General features: G+C 38.0%; 1 long non-coding RNA gene across 4 annotated transcripts in view; it reads left to right on the top strand.

The window, feature by feature from the left end:
• Window positions 1-14,101, top strand: part of LNCARSR (lncRNA regulator of Akt signaling associated with HCC and RCC) — a 50,080-nt gene extending 35,979 nt beyond the window's left edge. For 2 of the 4 annotated variants that reach the window (NR_184112.1, NR_184110.1), the window contains exons 3-4: window positions 2,803-2,970; window positions 13,526-14,101. This is a non-coding gene — a long non-coding RNA (lncRNA regulator of Akt signaling associated with HCC and RCC). The remainder of the gene's footprint in view (window positions 1-2,802; window positions 2,971-13,525) is intronic. The other 2 variants (NR_184113.1, NR_184111.1) reach the window with 1 other exon arrangement.
• Window positions 14,102-21,252: the final 7,151 nt, after the last annotated feature.

The raw sequence follows: 21,252 nt of genomic DNA, 5'->3' as shown, positions 1-21,252 counted from the left end.
TCTTCAACTCCTGGGCTCAAGTGATCCGCCTCAGCCTCCCAAAGTGCTGGGATTTGAGCCATCGCCTTGGTCACATTATTGACAACAGTGCAGCCTTTCCTGGGAGGTAACCCCAATTCTATTTTGTTTATATTTTTTGTTTGTTTACAAGTGCTTGCAAAATGTTTTTATTTTCTTGATCTAAATTGTGCAAAGATTGAAGTATTTACCTCCCATTGTATCTTCACTTCCCTTTTTCTCCCATCTGTAATGTTTACTGGATGCTAGCCTGATATTCTTCACTTCTGTCCACTTACTTCTCAATTACCATTGAACCTCTTTTTCTGTTATTTTTTTGCCTTTGGTAAGTGCGATCATACTACATTGATTCTAAGATGAATGTTTTTCACATTTTAATGTCTCTGAAATCAGCCTGCATTTCACAGTGGTTGACAACTTACAATAAATTCTAGGACTTAAAAAAGTTGTTAGTAGAACATAAAATAATTGTGCATTTTAAACAGCCCAGGGCTTCTTGGATTTGATGGAATAAAGCTAATGCAATCATAACAAAGTCTGCAGTTTAAAGAGGCCAGTTGACTTGCCCAAGATCATGCAATGGGACAAGGTGAAGCTGAACAGGACTCATCCTCAAGCAGGCTGACTTCAGAGCCCTTGCTTTGTGCTCTGTACTATAGTGGGAGAAAGCGACATTCGGAGAGGCAAGGGCACTGTGCTGCCATGTGACAGCATCAGAATTTGAATCCAGAGCCCTTTCTCACTACTATATTTGGTTCTGTGACCTCAAGGATACAGGAATTTGGTCTAGAAAATCTCTAAGGTTTCTGATTTGAAATAAAGCCAGTTTTATTTTTTAATGCATAAATATTTTAAAAATACATTTTCTAGTACAGATAATGTACACAGCACAATTTAAATTAAAAATTTTAAAATTTAAACTTAAAAAATAAATTAAATATAAATTAAAAATTTTAAAAGTAGCAAAGGAAAATAAGGAAAAGTAATTTTTCCACCTTGTGCCCCAGCCACTACTCACTCCTACTACCTAGAGATAAACACTGCTGCAACTCTTTTGTGCACTAGAGGCATTCTATGAATATAAAGCAAATATGTACATATGGCATTTTAAAGTTATCAACCATATGTTCACACTGGTATCTCTAAGCTCAATCAGTCCCATAACATGTTTCATTCTAGTTTTCTCCCACTCCAAATTTGTGACTCCCATCTTCAAAATTTTCCTCAATACATTTTCTTATTTGATCAATTCCCAGGCGCATAAACAATCTCTTGGGCCTTTGTCCTTCTCTTTTGGGGATGTCCCTGGCATCTTGCTTGGCTCTGGCACCCCATGCTAACCTGCTGCCCCCTCTGCCCCTTCCCCATGTGAATGCTCTTCCCATCCACACTGGGCTCAGACACAGAGTTGGCAGATAAAATATAGGACATCCAATTAAATTTGAATTTCAAATAAACGGTAATTATTTTATATAGGTATGTCTCAAATATTGCATGGGATATACTTGTACTAAAAATTACTCACTGTTTATCTGAAATTCAAATTTAACAGGGCTTCCTGTATTTTTATTTGCTAAATCTGGCAACCTTACATGCTGGGCCACCCATCACCACCATACCTTAGCACAGAACCCTCTTCATCTTACTGGAGTTTTAACGTGTGAAACTGAGCAGCCCTCCTCCCCACTGTGTCTTGCTCGGCCCTGACGAATAGCTTTTGGGCTGAAGTGTTAGGGAAGGGATTGAAAGGACAGGGAAAGGGACAAGGAGAAAGTGGGAAGGGTAAGAAGGAAAGAAGGAAGGAGACAAGAAGAAAAGTGAGAGGAAGAGGAAGAATGCATTACATTTTTAAAATCTAGATTTATATTTTTTTAACCTCACCTAATCTCACCTATATCTATTTTTTAACCTCACCTAAACTGTATACAGTGTAATGGCTTTAAAACCCCACAGAGCCAGGCAGATCGCTAGATATCAGGAGTCTGAGAACAGCCAGGGCAAGACGATGAAACCTCATCTCTAAAAAAATACAAAAATTCACCATGGGTGATGGCTTATGCCTGTAGTCCCAGCTACTTGGGGGACAGAGGCAGGAGGATTGCATGGGTCTAGGAGGTGGAGGCTGCAGTGAACAACTATCTCACCACTGTACTCCAGCCTGGGTGACCCAGTGAGACCCTGTCTAAAAATAAATAATAATAATAAATAAATTAAACCCCACATGGACAAAAATGCCACCTAAAGTCAAGGAATATGAAATTATAACAAGCCTAACTCAGTGAATACTAAGTTACTAAGTCCATAGAAACTATACTGGTGAAGTAAGTTTGAAAATTTGGGAGGATTATGAAGGTCTGTTTTAGGCAAAATTTTTTATTGATGTTTACTACCTCCTTACTCAGAAAAACAAACAAACAAAAAACCCTGAAAAACAACAATATCTTATGTAGAAAAAAAAATCTTGGGAGAACTAGCCTTCTTTTGATGATTGCAATGTGGGAACATACGCAGTATAAATAACATAGAAAGACTTTAAAGTCTCCTCATGCAAACCTTGCCCTCTTTGTAAGTTGAATATTACCTTTCAGAAAGGAGTAAAAATGAAACGTTGGGTTTAAATGATTCCTTTGGTCAAAAGCAGCATCTTGGCTTTTTACATACTTATTACCTATAGATAAAACAATTAATTTCAAAGCACAGGTATATTCAAAGTAAATGCTTTTCCAGGGTGATTTTGTTTTTGTTTTTTAATTTTTTGGTTTTGTTGTTTTCTTTTTGTTCTAGCCCGAAGTGGACAAAAGCAAGTGAAGGCATTCAAACAAATCATTCAAAGTTGGAAACAGGGTTTGATGGGACATCTATAGCATGTAGAAATATTTATGAAAAATGGGGAAAGGCCTGCAGGGAGCACAGTGGGGCGATTCCTTATAAAATCACTTGGAAGTGCTGGGGGTAAGTGATGTAAGCATGAGGGAGGCTGGAACTCGCTTGAAAAGGCATACAAGGCAAGATGCATGTGGACAGATCACACGCTTCCAGGCATTATCTTGCATGTAGAAAAGTGGGATGCTCATTTTGTGCCTCCCTCAGAGGAGATATTATCTGAGCACATGCAAGTATCTGGATATCACCTTCTGGGCCACAGTGAGGAACTCAAGGAGTTGAAATGGTTTCTGGAGAAAAAGAAATGCTCAGAGGTACAAGATTTTCCTTTAAACTCCACCCTCATATTTCTGTGCTGTGGGTACTTTGGACCCTGATGGAAAGGAAATAGCTGGGAGCTTCCTCTGCCCTGTCCTCTGTCTCAAGACATCTGTGGAGGAAAGAGGAGTGTGAGGTAAAAAAGTGTGGACTTCAAGCCCAACAGAATCTGACTTCCAAGTTTTGTTTCCTACTTACTAGTTGACCTAGGGCAGAGGGCAGGTTACTTAAATCTTTTTTTTTCTTTTCTTTTCTTTTTTTGAGATGGAATCTCGCTCTGTCGCCTGGGCTGGAGTGCAGTGGCACGATCTCGGGTCACTGCAAGCTCCGCCTCCTGGGTTCACGCCATTCTCCTGCCTCAGCCTCCCCAGTAGCTGGGACTACAGGTGCCCACAACCACGCCTGGCTAATTTTTTGTATTTTTAGTAGAGACGGGGTTTCACCGTGTTAGCCAGGATGGTCTCGATCTCCTGACCTCGTGATCCATCCACCTCGGCCTCCCAAAGTGCTGGGATTACAGGCGTGAGCCACCGCGCCTGGCCACTTAATTCTTCAATAAGTGTTTCTTCTTCTGTTAATACTACCCTGCTATGTTATTGAGGTGTTCAAGAGAGAAAATAAGACTGTTTCTGAAAGTGTGGTTCCTGGGCCAGCAGCATCAGCCTATCAAGGGACCTTGTTAGAAACGCAAATTATTGGCCCTACTTTAAACCTATAGAATCAGAATCACTGAGTCTATGGTTTAATGAGCCCTCCAGATGATTCCAGTGCATTCTAAAATTTGAGTTGAGGACTACTGTAAAAGGAAAAGCCACTGGCAGAGAGGTGATGAACAAAAATGGTAACTGTCCTTTTTTTTTTCTTCTTTTTTTTTTTTTTTTTTGAGACAGAGTTTCACTCTGTTGCCAGGCTGGAGTACAGTGGCACGATCTTGGCTCACTGCAACCTCCACCTCCCAGGTTCAAGAGATACTCCTGCCTCAGCCTCCTGAGTAGCTGGGACTACAGCCACGTGCCACCACACCCATCTAATTTTTGTATTTTTAGTAGAGACTGAGTTTCACCATGTTGGCCAGGCCAGGATGGTCTCTATCTCTTGACCTCATGATCCACCCGCCTTGGCCTCTCAAAGTGCTGGGACTGCAGGTGTGAGCTACAGCGCCCAGGTGGTAACTGCCCTTCTAAGCATGCTCCTTCTTCATTTGCTGTCTTCCCCTATTTATATGGCTTTCCCTCTATTTTTTATTATTAGAATATATTAATGTTGTCCTCTATCTTCTGTTGTAAAGAGAGAGTGGCTGAGAGCAGACCTTGGGGAGAGGCTGGGCTGCCACAATTAGACTCATGCCTCAGGGACCCCAACACTCACTTCATGATGCTTTATAAGTCTCCAGGATTCCCGTGAAATACCACCCTCACTGGACCCATGCACAAACCCACTAACTTCTGGAAACTCCAAAGGAGAGGAGAAGACAATGTATAGTGAAATTTTTCTTTGTCTGGCAAGCCCTATTTGGATTTGTGACATTTTCTTTCTCTCCAGTCAATCCTCCTCACTGCAGTCAGATCATTTCCTAAATAAAAAATATCTGATCCTCTCATTACTAAAATACTCTGTAACCTCCCTAAGATTTTGCCCATAATATTAGGTAAAACTCCTTACTGTAACATGTAAAGCCCTTCTCAATCTGGTCTTGAAAGACCTCTTCAGCCTTGTTTTACTTGTCTCTGTTTACTGCTGCTATAACAGAATACCACAGATTAGGTAATTTATACAAATGAAACTTTATTTGGCTCATGGTACTGGAGGCTGGGAAGTCCAAGAGCATGGTGCTGGCTTCTGGTGAGGGCCTTCATGCCACATTATCCCATGGCAGAGAGCAAGCAAGCATGTGGGACAGAAGGAAGTGGGGCCAAACTTACCCTTTTATCAAGAACCCACTCCCTCAATAACTAACCAGCTCCCAAGATAACAGCATTACTCCATTCATGAGGATGTAGCCCTCTTGGCCTAATCACCTCTTAAAGGCTTCACCTCTTAATAGTGTTATAATGGCCACTAAGTCTCTAACACATGAACTTTGTGGGGAACAAACTCAAACCACAACAAGCCTCATTGCCCATTTCCTGCCATCTTTCCTCTTCCCATTCCCAACACACATGGGTACACATGCACATGCATGACTTGTCCCTGTGAGAAAGCAAGTGGTGAGCAAAACACCACTGGTGGATGTTACCCTTGAGCTAGTCATGAGGAAAACAGAGCAAGTATTCCAGGCAAGAGGAACAGAGATGTGAAACAGCATGGGGAACTACGATGTGGCATTATGGGGAGTTTTTTTTTTTTTCCTGAAAGTGAAATTTATGAGGTAAGGTGTAAAGACAGGTGGTGCTGGAAAAGAAGGCTCAGGTCAGGCCTGGGAAAGTCTTTAGTGATATGCTAACCAAGGTGCCCAGCAAAAACCAAACAGCATACTCATATGCAAGTTTCAACACATTGCAGATTGTCTAGTAGTTACATTAGATTCTTTTTGTTCAGGTCTTGAATAAAAGTAGGCATATTATCTTTGTCAAATAGCTGAAGAAACTGAGACTCAGAAGGTAAATCATTGACTCATGGGATGCTTCCACTATCAAATGCTGAGGATATGATCCACAGCATCCTATCCTCAGCCATCACTATGCTCCCAATCACAACACCGTTCTGAAGCCAGGGCTTTCCCTGGCTCTACAAAAACTAGCAATTCACTTCAAATCTGGACTACAGCTCTAGATCTGACTCAAACCCTCTTCATGGAGGTCCTCAATTTAGATGAATTGCTTTTGTAACCTTAAGATATTTGTTTCCTTATACTTGGTGTCTTAATTGTTTGTTATTATTTATTCCTTAACAACACTAGCTAGGAATATTCTGAGATTTGGGCAATTAGTTTTTCTGTAGACTCCCTTGATAAATTCTTGGTGGAGAGCCTCTTTTGTCTGCATAACTAGTATCAATATCCACAAAGACCCTTTATGCAATTTGTCAGCTCTGTAAGTGTCAATTTCGTAGAATGGGTGTCTTTAGTGTCCTACACTTAGGTTTGAAAAAATTTTAACGAATGCCTTTACTTCTGAATTCTTTCCTGAAAAATATGTGGCAAAAAAATCTTGAAAATAATATTTTGTTCTTTAAGAGTTGGGCTATTGTTCCCTCTCCTTCAGGAACTGTTTTACAAAACTTATATCCAAGGAAGCACAGTGAAACCTTAAAGTGTAGAAAAAACCCCAGAGGAATCAGTGTGTCAAACTGCAAACTAGACTTATTTGAAGTCACCATAACAATGACAAAATTAATATATTAATAGCAACCCTAAGGCTGATAAGTTATTTTAGTAAAGTGTCTAAAATTTTGAAGGATTGCTTTTCCCTATTGGAAAAATGATTATATACACCTTAGGGAGAAAAAGGTCGATTAATTGCCTCCATTTGAACATTATCAATAGTAAAACACACATTAAATTAGAAAAAGTTTTAAATTAATTAACTTCAGCCTGCTAAATTCTCAAACTTTTATGTCCTTTGAAAGCAAAGATTATGGTTGTATTCCTTGAAATTATACAGAGCTCTCTCTACAGTAGTGAATCTAAAAATAATTGTTGAATCAATGAATGAAACATCATTAAATCAGATCAATCAACCTAAAAATAATGTTCATAAACATGTCATCATGTTTCATTGTGCACTACGTATTTTGGAACATTGTTTCCATTTAAAATTGGTTAAAATAATTTGTACTTCTAGATTTTTTTTTCAAATAAAGTAGCAATTGTGCAAAATAGCATAATTCCAGAAATAGTCATTGCAGCATAGCTTGCAATAGTGTAAGATTGAAAGCAATCTAAAGTCCATCAATAGAGAACCACTTATTTCTGTACAATGGAATACTATGCAACCATTACAAAAAATTGGCATCCCTATATATCTGATTGGTTTATACGGCTAAGATAATTGTATTCCTCTTGGCCTGTGATTGATCTAAGAGTGGGCATGTGACTCAGCTCTTGCCAGTGAAGTGTAATGGGAGGGCTAGCAGGGAGGGGTTTCTTTCCTGAACAATAATGCAAACTTGATTGAGGAGGGGGCCTCTTCATCACCTCTCTCCATCCATGTAGATAATGCCTAAAGGTACAATAGGCTTTTACAATTGCAAGCAAGAAGGTAAAAGCCAACTTTCAAGAATGGTAGGATGAGAAAACAAGATCCAGGTCCCTGATTCATTCCTGAACTGCTGACTCAATGCCAGTAACCACTGACTTCAGGGATTCTGTTGTAAGAGAAGAATAAAATGCCTATTTGTTTGGATCTCTGTAAGTCAGGCTTTCTGTTATCTGCACCTTGATTAAAGAACTCTGTTCCATAGTCTCAATCTCTACTAAGAAAAGATCATTGCTAGTATTATATCCTTCACTGCAAGATAGGAACTGCAGAATTTAAGGAAATAGGTAAGGAATCTCTTTTAAAAGACAAGTAAATGAAAGTATAGAGCAATATCTACATGTTATTTTTGTATTAACAAGTGATTAAATAATATATTCATATTTTCTTGTATCTGCATAAAGAAACACCTTAAAGGACACACACATACACACACACACACACACACACACAAACTAAATAAGCAGGGCAGGCAGAAACAGGATGAATTGGGAATGAAATTCCCTAATTGTGTGGGCATTAGGAATAAAAAGTAAACAGGAAATAGAGAAGTAAACTCATTACAAAAAAATTGAAATTTGTGTTTACAGAAAATACTTTTTTGATAAAACTACATTTTAGTTCTTTTTATGCTATTTACTGACTCAGTGATTTTGGTCAAATCACCTAAATTCTCAGGGTCTAATTTTCTTACCCATGAGATGAGAAGTCATTAGTTTTCTAATTAGACCTTTTTCACTTCGAAAGCTATACAACTCTATGAAGTATCACTCAATTATGTCATCCTATACAATGTTAAATAGTTACATTTAATAACCAGAATTATCCAAGTTAAATAATTCCAATTTGAAGTTCTTATCTGGACAACTTTATAATGAGTTGGTGGTGGTGCATTTGGAGACAGCCTGGGAATGGGTCACATTAAACATTTCTGACTGTTTCCATTACGAAATGTTAAAACTATTCATACCACTTAATACTTCAACCTTGATACTTCAACCCTTGTCTGCCATTTCTGATTTCTTTTACTCTGCTTGACTTTTTCTTTTCTCCATAGCACTTGTGTCTTCTAACATCCCCAATAATTAACCTATTAATTATGCATTATGTAAGTGATCTCTCTCACCACACTACAAACTTCATGAGGGTGGGGAATCTTTGCTTTGTGCATATCAAGTACTTGGCACAGAGTAAGCGCTCAACAAGTATTTGCTGAATGAGTGAATGAATGAAGTCATGGTAGTGCACCAGATCCCTTTGAATGTCTAAACAAGCTTTTACCACCGTGTGGGAAGAGCAGTTTGAAAGATAGCAAATCATCAGTTTTCACATTTGGATGGTTGAATGGTTTGTTAGGAAAATACACAGAATCATAGTTTACGTTTTCCTGGCTCATCTTTTATAACAGAAACTTACAAAGCAAAAGTAGGCATCTTAAGGACTCAATACAAGAAAGCAAATCTAGATATTTATTAAAAATAGAGTAGCCTGTCATTAAATTAGTGTTAACCCAAGCATGCTTGGGTGCCTAGACTGTGTAGACCTGAGAATAGGCCACTTTCAGGCTTTTACTTCTAGGTTTCAGAACTGACGAGCTCTCGCTCTTAAACAGAGAAACTCAGTCCTTCTGTTTTTTTGGGGTCTCAGTTCAGGTTTCTAAGAAAGGTGTCCTAGTTTGAAATGTACACCCCAGCTTTGCTGCTCCCCTGCCTGCCTCGGCTGCAGCTCTTTCTCAGCTTGTCCTTCTTGGTGGCTGAGTGCTGGACTGCTCTGATGCCTGCTGGCTCTTGTTGTCCCCTCTGGCTGCCCAGGCAGTTGTGTTGACCTTCTCTACCTTGAACGTGATTGAGGTGACTGCTTTCCCCACTGTGATCTGGGTAGTGCCTTCTCCCTCTTATATCCCCTGTTCAGTGGCAATGGGACAGGGAGAGGGCCACTCAGCAGAGTTGCTGGAATCTTCGGTTGTTTTTCTTTCAGATTTGCAATGTAGTTTTCAACTTCCCAGGACATAGAAACACTTTCTCTAGGTTAGTGTAGATTCTAGTAATGTCTGCTTTGTATCATGAACCACTGCTCTTGCTCCCTTCAAGCAGTTACCGAGGTTGCCCTCACTTATGAATTTCTCTCTTCTCTAACACACAGGCTTCTTGGTTGCCATCTATAACGTTGCTTCCATAGTCCCCTATATATGATGTCAGGCATACATGTCTGTATATCTGAAGTACAACAGTGGACAGGATTAAAATTATTTTCCATCCAACTTCTATGTTCTGTGAAAATTCAGGGAATATAGTTGATGTGTGTTGGTAGAGGGGCCAGGAAGGAGAAGGACAACTCCCAATTCAACATGTTACTGCGAGGGAGACATATTGACCTGGGTTTGGAGCTTGGTTCTACCTTTTGTTCATTCTGTGACCTTTGGCAATTTATCTGATCTCTCTGCAACTCATTTTTTTTCACTTCCAAAATGTGCATAATGATAATACTTACCTCGTGGAGTTATTTAATGATTAAGTATGCTAAGGGTATGCAGGGCACTTTAAACAGGACCTAAATAGGCTCTCAAATGTTGGTACATATAATCATTAACATAGTCATTCTAATTCCCTCTTCCTTCTTCTTTATAATCATCCTCACAATCAGCACCATCACTACCACTACTATCGTCATCATCTCATCATTACCATTTTGAATCTAGCTGGGACTTCTGTAACACTTCTGGGATTTCTACCAAAACTCAATTTTTTTCATCATCCCAATGTAGCAAACACAGCATTTAGTTTCTTTTGGGGGAAAAGTTTATAACTTTTGTGATAGTTAATATTAGGTGTCAACTTGACTGGGTTGAGGGGTGCCTAGATGGCTGGTGAAGTATTGTTTCTGGGTGTGTCCGTGAGGGTGTTGCCAGAGGAGACTGACATGGAGTCCGTGGACCGGGAGAGGAAGACCCACCCTAAACGTTGAGTGCACACCATCCAATTGGCTGCCATCATGGCACGAACAAAGCAGGCTGAAGAAGGGGATAAGCAGCTTGCTGTGTCTTCTCTGGCTAGCTCTCTCTTCCCATGGCCTGCGGGAGGCTTGCTTCCTCTCTTGCCCTTGGACATCAGACTCCAAGTTTTTCAGCCTTTGGACTCTGGGACTTGGACCAGTGGCCACCTAGGGGCTCTCAGTCCTTCAGCCACAGACTAAGGGCCGCACTGTTGGCTTCCCCGGTTTTGAGGCTTTTGGACTTGGACTGAGCCAGGCTACTAGCTTCTCTGTTTCCCTAGCTTGCAGATGGCCTGTCATGGGACTTCGCCTTATAATAGTTTGAGTCAATTCTCTCTAATAAACTCCCCTTTACATATATATCCTATTGGTTCTGTCCCTCTGGAGAACCCTGACTAATGTACTTCCTAAAACTCAATTGTTAATTGATTTAAAATTTTAAAACTTAAAAGAATGTAACACAGAGAATTGCTTATTATAGCTTATCACTCTAATATTGAGACCAAGATTTTCTTTTCAAAAGATATCCTACCTAGAAGATAGTCTTAAACTTTAATCATGAAAGTCAATATCTAGAATTAAAGAAAATCACACAGAAAACATGAAATTTATTGTATTACAAAACCCCTATCCTGGAAAGAAACACCTCTAATGATACCTGTCTTCCCTGCCTACCATCCAAGCCCCATGCTTTATGTCCAAACACTAGGGGGAGAAAAAGTTAATTTTCAGGCACAATTCCTCAAATTAAAATACTAAGTATTGTCTACGAATTTAAAAAATCTCTCTGTTTTTCTACATGGAAGAGATATGATATGTGGTTATATTGAGAACATTTATAAAACTTTAGACAGAATTATTTGGAAGGTGGTCTCACTGAGAAATATTAGAAAGGGTACAATCTGCCAAAATAATTCTCTGAGAAACTGGAAATCAATAAATTGAAACAGAGAAAAGTGGACATAAATTTGGAACCCAAACTTTGAGATTTATCTTCTAGGAGACAGAACTGGGTGAAATAGACAACCATTTTTCCTTGTTATATTTTGATAGTTTAATATAACCTTGAATTATTTTTTGTAGACTCTGGGTCATTGCTTCTTGTATTTGTGTGTGTATGTGTACACACACATATTTGTCGCTTTAAAAAAGAGGGCTTCCTGCTTTTTATTGAGGGGTACTGAAAATTAAGCTTTTTTCTTTTTATTTTGAAATGATTTTAAATTTATAGAAAAGATGCAGAAGCAATACAAAGATCTCTCAATCTTGATAGTACTCCTCAATCAAGTTCCCAAATATTCTTTTAGTGCATTTATTTTACCATTCTCTCTGTCTCTCTTTCTCTCTATACACACAAACAACACGCAATATACATAATATGTGCATATTACTATACACTTTTCTGAAGCATTGGAGAGTAAGTTTCAGACATGATATCTTATTACTTTCAATGTGTATTTCCTAAAAACAAGGACACTCTCCTATGTAATCACAATCAAATCTTTAAAATTAGGGAATTTACAATGATAAAATATTGCTATCTAATCCATAGACCCCATTCAAATTTTGCCAATTATAATAACATTGTTTATGAAGTCCAGGAGTTGTTATGTTTCTTCAGTTTTCTTCAATATGGAAAAGATCCTCAGTCTTTTTTTTTTTTTTTTTTTTGAGACGGAGTCTCACTCTGTCGCCCAGGCTGGAGTGCAGTGGCACGATCTCGGCTCACTGCAAGCTCGCCTCCCGGGTTCACGCCATTCTCCTGTCTCAGCCTCCCAAGTAGCTGGGACTACAGGTGCCCGCCACCACGCCTGGCTAATTTTTTTGTATTTTTAGTAGAGATGGGGTTTCACCATGTTAGCCAGGATAGTCTTGATCTCCTGACCTTGTGATCCACCCACCTCGGCCTCCCAAAGTGCTGGGATTACAGGCATGAGCGACCGCGCCCGGCACCTCAGACTTTCCTTGTCTTTATTACCTTGGTATTCTTAGAGAATATAGGTCAATTATTTTGCAGAATGTTCCAGAATTTAGTTTCATCTCATGTTTTCTTGTGATTTATACATTGTATGAGGAAGTACCATGAATTGATGTTGTGTTCTTAGTACATCATTTCTGCAGGTATGTAATGTCCATTGTCTCATTCTTGGTGCTGTTTAAGTCTTATCACTTTGTTTAGATGGTATTTTCTAGGTTTAGAATATTTAATATATGTTTTGTACATATTAAGTAATAAATAAGTAATTTGTGGGGAATAGTTTGAGACTATAAATATCTTCTTTCTCGAGCTTTCACCCACTAGTTTTACCATCCTTTGATGACTCTTGCCTACATAAATTATTTCTATAATGGGTGGTAAATTGTGATTTTGTATAATCTATCATTCCTTTTACATGTATATCATTCTACTATAAGGTAGAGCTATCTGTCCATCTATCTACCTATCCATCTATTCATCCATTCATCCATCCATATATCATTTATCTTATCTATCTGCCTACCATATATACCAGTATTGGCTCAGAATCTTCTTTTACTCAATGAGTTACACTCCAATATTGTAATTACAATACTTGATGATCAAGTTGTCCCAGGCTTTGCTAATAAAAGCCCTTTCAAGCTGGCTTTTTTGTCCTTTTGACTTGTCCTCACAATTCTTTGAACGTGCTTTTACTTTCTGGCACAAGATGTTCCAGGCTTATTTTGTTGTTTCCCTGCCCTAGTCCTTGATTCAGTCACTTACCGAGGACCTTTGGTTTTCCCTTAGTAGCGAATGCTACTTTGAAATCAACACCTGAGTACCCTGGATATTTATTTCTATCAGGGTGTCATTGCATCTAGGCCCTTTTTGCAGATAGAGCCAGAAAAGATGTGCATGTATACACACACCCACTCATGCACACCTACAGCTCTATCTATTTCTGTTTATGTATATTTAAAAACCATGATTCTACACTGACACTTCCAATTCCAATTCAGTACTGCAGGTTTAATTGCAGCATTCATCTTTCTATATTTGTAATTTCTTCTCCAAAGGTGAGAAACCTGCTTGCCATTATCATCGATTTATTCATTTATTTGTTCAACACCCCTAAGTAGTCAATATTTTGATTTCACAGGCTTCTTCATCAGCCCTAACCCTGCCAACCACTCCTGCCTCACTGAATGTGCCAACGGATTGCTCAGCTCCAACCAAGGAAAAGAAGAAGGAAGTTGGATACTTTATACCCTCTACATTGTCCATTAGCAACACAACCTAGAGCTAGGATGGAGAAAGAAAATGCCAAAATGCTAATGAAAAATGTTCAGATGTATCACATATTAAGCATACATGATCTCAAATATTTTGCCTGATTTATGCTATGCATGCTATTTTCCATGTTGTGTAGGCTCTGATGCTAGTCTACATTTACAGAAATCTCCATCAGCTGTACAAATGGCAATTTAAATACATTTAACTATGTGCTAATAATCTCATAATACAATTTATCATGTATGATTGGCAGAAGAAATTATTTGGGGCAAAAGCTATGATTGTATTGTTGTAAGTTATTATGAATGCTGGGCAGTGTAGGGCATGGCACTTGCTACCACCTCCCAGAAATGTGTAAGGGCTGTTGAAGGTGCCTTGTTCTTCTTTCTTCTTCAATATAAGCAAAGCTATTTATATCATAAAGCTGAAACTTGAAATTCCACCCTTGCCTATTCTTTTTCCTCAGAAAGATGTCTTTCTTTCTAAGAATATATTGCACTTAAGGATAGGAGGTGTCTCCTTTGGACGTCTATGTGCCAAATATGTGTTGTAAATTACTTTTGTTTCTCTTAATAACCAGGGGTGAAGTTCTCAACAGTATTTGCTGAGGATGGTACAAGATTTAAGAAGAAAACATATTTTTACATCTTTCCCTTTGGAGTGCAGTGGTGCTATCTCAATTCACTGCAAGCTCCGCCTCCCGGGTTCACGCCATTCTCCTGCCTCAGCCTCCCGAGTAGCTGGGACTACAGGCGCTCGCCACGACGCCGGCTTATTTTTTTGTATTTTTAGTAGAGACGGGGTTTCGCCGTGTTAGCCAGGATGGTCTCAATCTCCTGACCTCGTGATCCGCCCGCCTCGGCCTCCCAAAGTGCTGGGATTACAGGCTTGAGCCACCGCACCCAGCCTCCATTTCTTCATTTTAGAATGATACTATCAGGGAAATAAAGATGAAACGTAGAAACTTTGGTGAATAATTAAGATCATACACACAAGCATATCCATGAAGTAAAATATTTTCTGCAGACCTCCCCTCACCTTTCCAAATCATAGTCATAAAATACTGAAAATCTTAAGAATGTTAAAATGATATGATGACCAGAGGCCTCGAAGTAAATGGCCACTTTATGGAAGACATTACATAATTCTGTTGACAAAATTCATATTTATATGTTCGTAGTCTTTGATGACTGAATAATTACATTGAAGTAGCTTCATCTTACAGTGTAGTGTTGTCTTTTTAACTATTATTAAGAATCTATTTCAAGGAAATATATGAATGATTCCACATCCTCACATTCATTGAATACTATTTTTCTTTTTGGTAGTTAAATCTTTTCAAACAAACTGAGTCCTCAGAACAGGAATGACAATTATCATGAGTTTGTTATTCTAATGCTTGACTTTTCTTTTCTTTTCTTTTCTTTTTGGTTCTGAAAACCCATTGACTTTCTGAATTGAAAAACCTAGCTCCGGAGAATGTATCATTGAACTTAAATAAATTTGTGTAAATAATTATAAACATAATGGTAAATTTTGGCCATTGTCTATTATAATACCTACAAACCATTATTTTTTTGTTCAATACTTGGGCAGGTAGGGGAATGCATATTGTAGAACTTTGTTAATAGAGAATCTTTCTGGAATAGATTGATAAGTATCCAAGAAGCACTTGGACAGCTTTAAACAAAAATGGCTCCAGATTATAAATGGATTACTTGATGGCATCTATACTCCAATGGATCAGTCTAGAAATGTTCCATTAGTCAATTAAAAAGGAGACTTTGGATTCAGTAAGGCATTATTACAGATTGATGGAAGGTGATTAGATAGGAATATCATCAATAGCTTTTACTTTAAAAGATCATATTTTATTTTGCTTTTTTTAAAAAAAAATTTATTTATTTTGAGACCAGGTCTCACTCTGTCACCCAGGCTTCAGTGCACTGGGGTGATCACAGCTCACTGAAGCCTTGGCTTCCCAGGCTAAAGCAATCCTCCTACCTCAGCCTCCAGAGTAGCTGGGACCACAGGCGTGTGCCTTCGTGTCCGGCTAATTTTTGTATTTTTGATAGAGACAGGGTTTCACCATGTTGCCCAGGCTGGTCTCAAACTCCTGAGCTAAAGTGATCCACACACCTCTGCCTCCCAAAGTGCTGGGATTAGAAGCATGAGGCACCGTGCCTGGCCTTTATTTTGCTTTCTTTACTTACAACAATAATCCAATATATTAGTGTATATACTATAGTGTACAGCACTTTCATATATATTACTTCATATAAATCTGCATGAGCATATTTACAATGGGAAAAGTAGACTAGAACCTTCAAAAAGTTAAATTCAAATGGAAGGATTCACAAAGTAATATAATAATTTCTGCTTGCAAAATATGGTGGAAAAACTGTTTCTTAGGGTACAGCACATCAAGACTATAAGAATATCCACAATAATCTTCCAATTTAATATATTCTGCTATTTTCAATCTTTTCTTTTTTTAGTGGGCTCTTTTTGTTGTTCTTGACTTATTGGTGGTGTAGGGGGGCACTAGTTTCATTTCAGATAAAATGTAAAATATATATGATTTTATAAGATAAAATGGATAATTTTTCTTTGGAATGACAGAAGAATGAACTTAAGTTTTTAAAAAATAAATGTTGAAGAAACTTTTCCTTCATAATGATCTCTTATCGTTGGGAGTCTTATTACTTCTAGTTTTACTGATGAGAGTAAAAATTAGGCAAAAATATGACGGAGGTTCTGCACTTACAATGCCCAGAGAGCAGTCAGTCCAAGGTATGGAGGGTTGAATATTTTATGGTGTTAGGTTCAGGATTGATCATCTTGGACAGTGGCTGAGCAGTCCTGGTGCAGAATAATTGGGTGGAGAGACCTGCAGGCAACATTTCAAGGAAAAGATTCCAGAACTTTAAATTGAGGAGTTGGTTCTATTTTTATTTCACTTACGAATGCCTGATTTCCTATCCCCTGTGCTATAAACAAGAGGCTGCCAAGTTTTCCAATTAAAATGGAAAACACTCAATCAGGGTCTATGGGGCACCACATAACTGGACCAGAACTTTCCTCCTCATGGAGCCCTGCCCCTGCTCACTCAAATACTCAGAATGTTTTGTCCATAACCTGCTACACATTGGGATTTTTGGAACATTGGAGATGTTTGACTGAATGTTATAGTTTTCAGACAGATGTTTTCAATTTATGTCCAAAGTTGGAGGGTTAGCAGGGATCATTTTTTGTATATCATCTTAGGTATCTTTCAGTTTGTCTAGTGATAATATTCTTTTTACCTGTTCTTAATTTTACTAGCAAAACCAGTAGTTCCCAGAATTTTAAATCTCAGAACCCCTTTATATTCCTAAAATCTTTTGAGAACTCAAAAGAACTTTGGTTTATGGGGCTTTATCTATCAATTTTTACCATATTGAAAATTAAAACTTGGAAATTGTTAAGGTATTTGTTAAATTATTGTAAAATAGCAATAATAAACCCATGACATGTTAACATAAATAACACTTTTTTTTTTTTTTTTGAGGTGGAGTTTCTCTCTTGTTGCCCAGGCTGGAATGCAATGGTACAATTTCAGCTCACTGCAACCTCCGCCTCCAGGGTTCAAGGGATTCTCTGGCCTCAGCCTCCCGAGTAGCTGGGATTATAGGCACACGCCACCACACCTGGCTAATTTAGTATTTTTAGTAAAGACGGGGTTTCTCCATGTTGGTCAGGCTGGTCTCGAATTCCTGACCTCAGGTGATCCGCCTGCCTCGGCCTCCCAAAGTGCTGGGATTACAGGCGTGAGCCACCATGCCAGGCCAAATAACACATTTTTATCAACATAGCTATACTGTCTAAAACAAAAATATTGAGTGAGAAAATGGCACTGTTAAACATATTTTTGCAAATCTCATTAACATTTGGTTTAATAAAGGACAGCTTATTCATTCAATCTAATGTGACATCACATGCCATGTAACTTCTGGAAATCACCATACCTTTATAAGATAATGAGAGTAAATGAGGCAAGATAATATTATGATCTTAGTGTTAGAGTTTTGACCTCACAGCTCCTCTGAAAGAGTTTTGGAACCCCTTCTGGTCTCTGGACAATGCTTTGAGAACTGCTGAGATAAACCAACCTGAGAAAAATTATGATCTGTTTAAGTACCCTGGTTCAGAATGTATAAAGGTAAGAGTTTTGACTGGCTCCTTAATAGTAACCACCTAATATGGTTTTGATCTGTGCCCCATCAAATCTCATGGTGATTTGTACTTCCATTGTTGGAGGTGGGGCCCGGTGGAGGGTGATTGGATCATGGGGGTGGATTTCTCATCAGTGGTTTAGCACTATCCCCCTTAGTGCTGTGGTCACAATAGTGAGTGAGTTCCCATGAGATCTGGTCCCTTAAACACGCGTGGCACCTCCCTTGCCCCTCTCTTGCTTCTGGCTTCTGCTGTGTAAGATGACTCCTCCCTTTTTGCCTTCTGCCATGATTGGAAGCTTCCTGGCCCCCCACCCCACCAAAAGCAGAAGCTGCTATGCTTCCTGTATAACCTGAAGAACATGAGCCAATTAAACCTCGTTTCTTTATAAATTACACAGTCTCAGGTACTTCTTTACCGCAATGAGAGAATGGCCTAATACACCACCTCAGAGAGGCTACCTTGAAAGTTCTCTCTGTAATAAGCGTTCCCCATTCTCTATGTTCTGAAGTTTAATGCTGTGTTTTTTCCCTTTGTGGAACTTATTTCAAGTTATAATTTTAAAATTCACACCTTTTTTTTTATTATGTTAACTTGATTCTCTCCCTCCCCAGATAGACTATAAACTTGAGTGTTTCTAACCCATCCATTGACTATATGTAGCATTGTGCCTAGCAAAAACTACACGCAATATCAAAAACATACAAAAAATAATCAACTTACAGTTGAATTACTGAACATTTTAACCCTGAATTCGGAAAGCATAAAGATGTCAGTTATCTATATTCAGTAGCTATTTGCTGACTTAATTAGTGAATAAGTTAGTTATATTATTGCTTTTCTCACTTATCTTTTGGTTCTTTTTTTTTTTTTGAGAATCTTACTCTGTCACCCAGGCTGGAGTGCAGTGGTGCAATCTCAGCTCACTGCAACCTCTGCCTCCCAGGTTGAAGCAATTCTCCTGCCTCAGCCTCCTGAGTAGCTGGGATTACAGGTGCCCACCAACATGCCTGGCTAATTTTTGTATTTTTAGTAGAGACAGGGTTTCACCACGTTGGCCAGGCTGGTCTCGAACTCCTGACCTCAGGTGATCTGTCTGCCTCGGCCTCCCAAAGTGCTGGGATCACAGGCATGAGCCACTGCCCCTGGCCTGGTCCTTAGTTCTTACACTGAGATGACAATGAACATAGGAGACTTGTAGTAAATACATTTTCATAAATTCATTCATTTCAAACAAACATTGTTTTAGAGTGCCTCTTATATACTGGTCAAGTCTGTAGGATAAAAAGATGAGTAAGACATAGTAGCCATCCTCTGTGATATCTCTGTATAATAAGGCACACTAAAAAAAGACAATACCTAAATAGAAAAAGTAGGTCCTGGCAGGAGAAAAGCAGGTCCTGTCTCTAAAATGAGTGAAAGCTTGATATATTCAAGGAACTATAAGTAAGTCAGTACATATGAACCATATAGATTGCAAGAGGACCTGGCTCTGTAGTGCAATGGATAGTGCATTGGACTTCTAGATTGCAAGAGGGAGCTAGGAAGCAGAGTAAGGTATGAGACTTGAGAGATCTATAGATCCCAGGACCTGCAGGTCTTGGGTTCTGTATTTAAGAGTTTGGAATTTACCCTGAAGGCAAATCGTTACGTGGATTCATCATACCTATCTACAACAGAAAGCTGTGGGCTCAGAGACATGTCCACAAAGCTCTGAGCCACTGCCTCCATTCTACCACTTGCTATGAAGATCCAGGGCACAGGACAACTCATAAAACTCAAAACTCTTAGCTAAATTTTGCTCATGGATGTCGAAGCCTTATTATCGTATAAGAGACACAGCACTGAATATCAATATCCTGGTGGAAAGAGGTTATTGGCCCCTTTACAAAACATCTGCAGAAAGCCACATGATGCCACTAATTGAGAAGCAGGTACCAATTATTTTGCCAACATATATTTCTTAGTAACATAGAGGCAAAATGTCCAAACAGAATCTTTGCAAGTTAAACCCAGCAGAATGTATAAAGAATAATGGAAAGCAAGTTAGCATTGTCCAGGAATGCAAGATTAGTTTAACATTTGAAAAGTCAATTAATGTAATTCATTTCATTTATAGAATAAAGAAGAAAATGCATGATTATATCAATAGGTGTACTAACAATATTTTGTAAAAGATAACACTTATTCATAACACAATTGTTAGTATATCTAATAATGGATATCTTCAAAAATATACAAAAAATCCTTAAGGTTGAATTGTTAAAATTTTTTATCCTGAATTTGGAAAGGCATAATGATATCAGTTATCATCACTTTTACTCGACATTTTACTGGAGGTCCTAGTCAGCAAGAAAAATAAAGGGTATAAATATTGAAAAGAGAGGGGAAAAACCATATTATTTACAGACGATGAGATTGTGTACATTGAAAACCTGGAAACTCTATGTATAAACACAGAGCAATATTAAAGAAATTATTATGCTTTTATATATTAGCAACAAATTATCATGTACAAAAACTGAAAAATACACAGGTATAATAGTATGAAAAATAGGCAGGTATAATGGTATAAAAAATAAAATACACAGGGATAAATTTAACAAAGTATGTGTAAAATTTCTGCACGGAAAACTAAAAAAAGATTAATGAGATAAAATACCTAAATAAATGCTCATACTATTTTTAAGAATTAGGAGACTAATTATTGTTTAAGATGTCACTTCTTTCTAAATTTATCTACAGGTTCAATAAAATGACAATAAAAATTTCAGATTTGCCAATAGCAAAGATAATCTTGAAGAAGAGAAAGAATGTTGGAGATTTTATGTAAGCATTTATTGAGACTATATTAATTAAAATAGTATTGATGCCAAGATGGACAAATAGATGAAGAGAAAAAAGAGCCCAGTGACAGATTCACATAAATAACTATTTACAAAAAATGTGCCACAGTAGTCCAATGTAAAATGAGGTGCATTTTAGAAATAGTGCTAGATTAATTTTATATCCCAACTTAAAAAATCTTGGCCCCTAATTTATGCCATACACAAAAAATCAATTCCAGAAACATCTTAGAACTAAATGAGAAAATTAAAACCATACAGCTTCTTAGAAGAGTTTTTTTTAACCTCCAGTTAGGCAGTTTTTTTTTTCTTTTTTCTTTTTCAAGTCTAGGAGTGCTGCTAATAGCCATAAAAGGAAAGATTGATAAATTGGAATGAATTAAAATTCAGAACTTTATTTTATTAGATGACACCATTCAATAACAAAAAGACTAGTGAGAGAATGGAAGAAATTTGCCATATATCTCCAACAAAGAATTCCTATGATTTTGTGTATCTATACATGTATCTTATCTGTTAATTTATGTCTTCT

The sequence above is a fragment of the Homo sapiens genome, chromosome 9, assembly GCF_000001405.40.
Source record: "Homo sapiens chromosome 9, GRCh38.p14 Primary Assembly".
NCBI lineage: Eukaryota > Metazoa > Chordata > Mammalia > Primates > Hominidae > Homo > Homo sapiens.
This window is presented reverse-complemented; position numbering and strand designations above follow the sequence as displayed.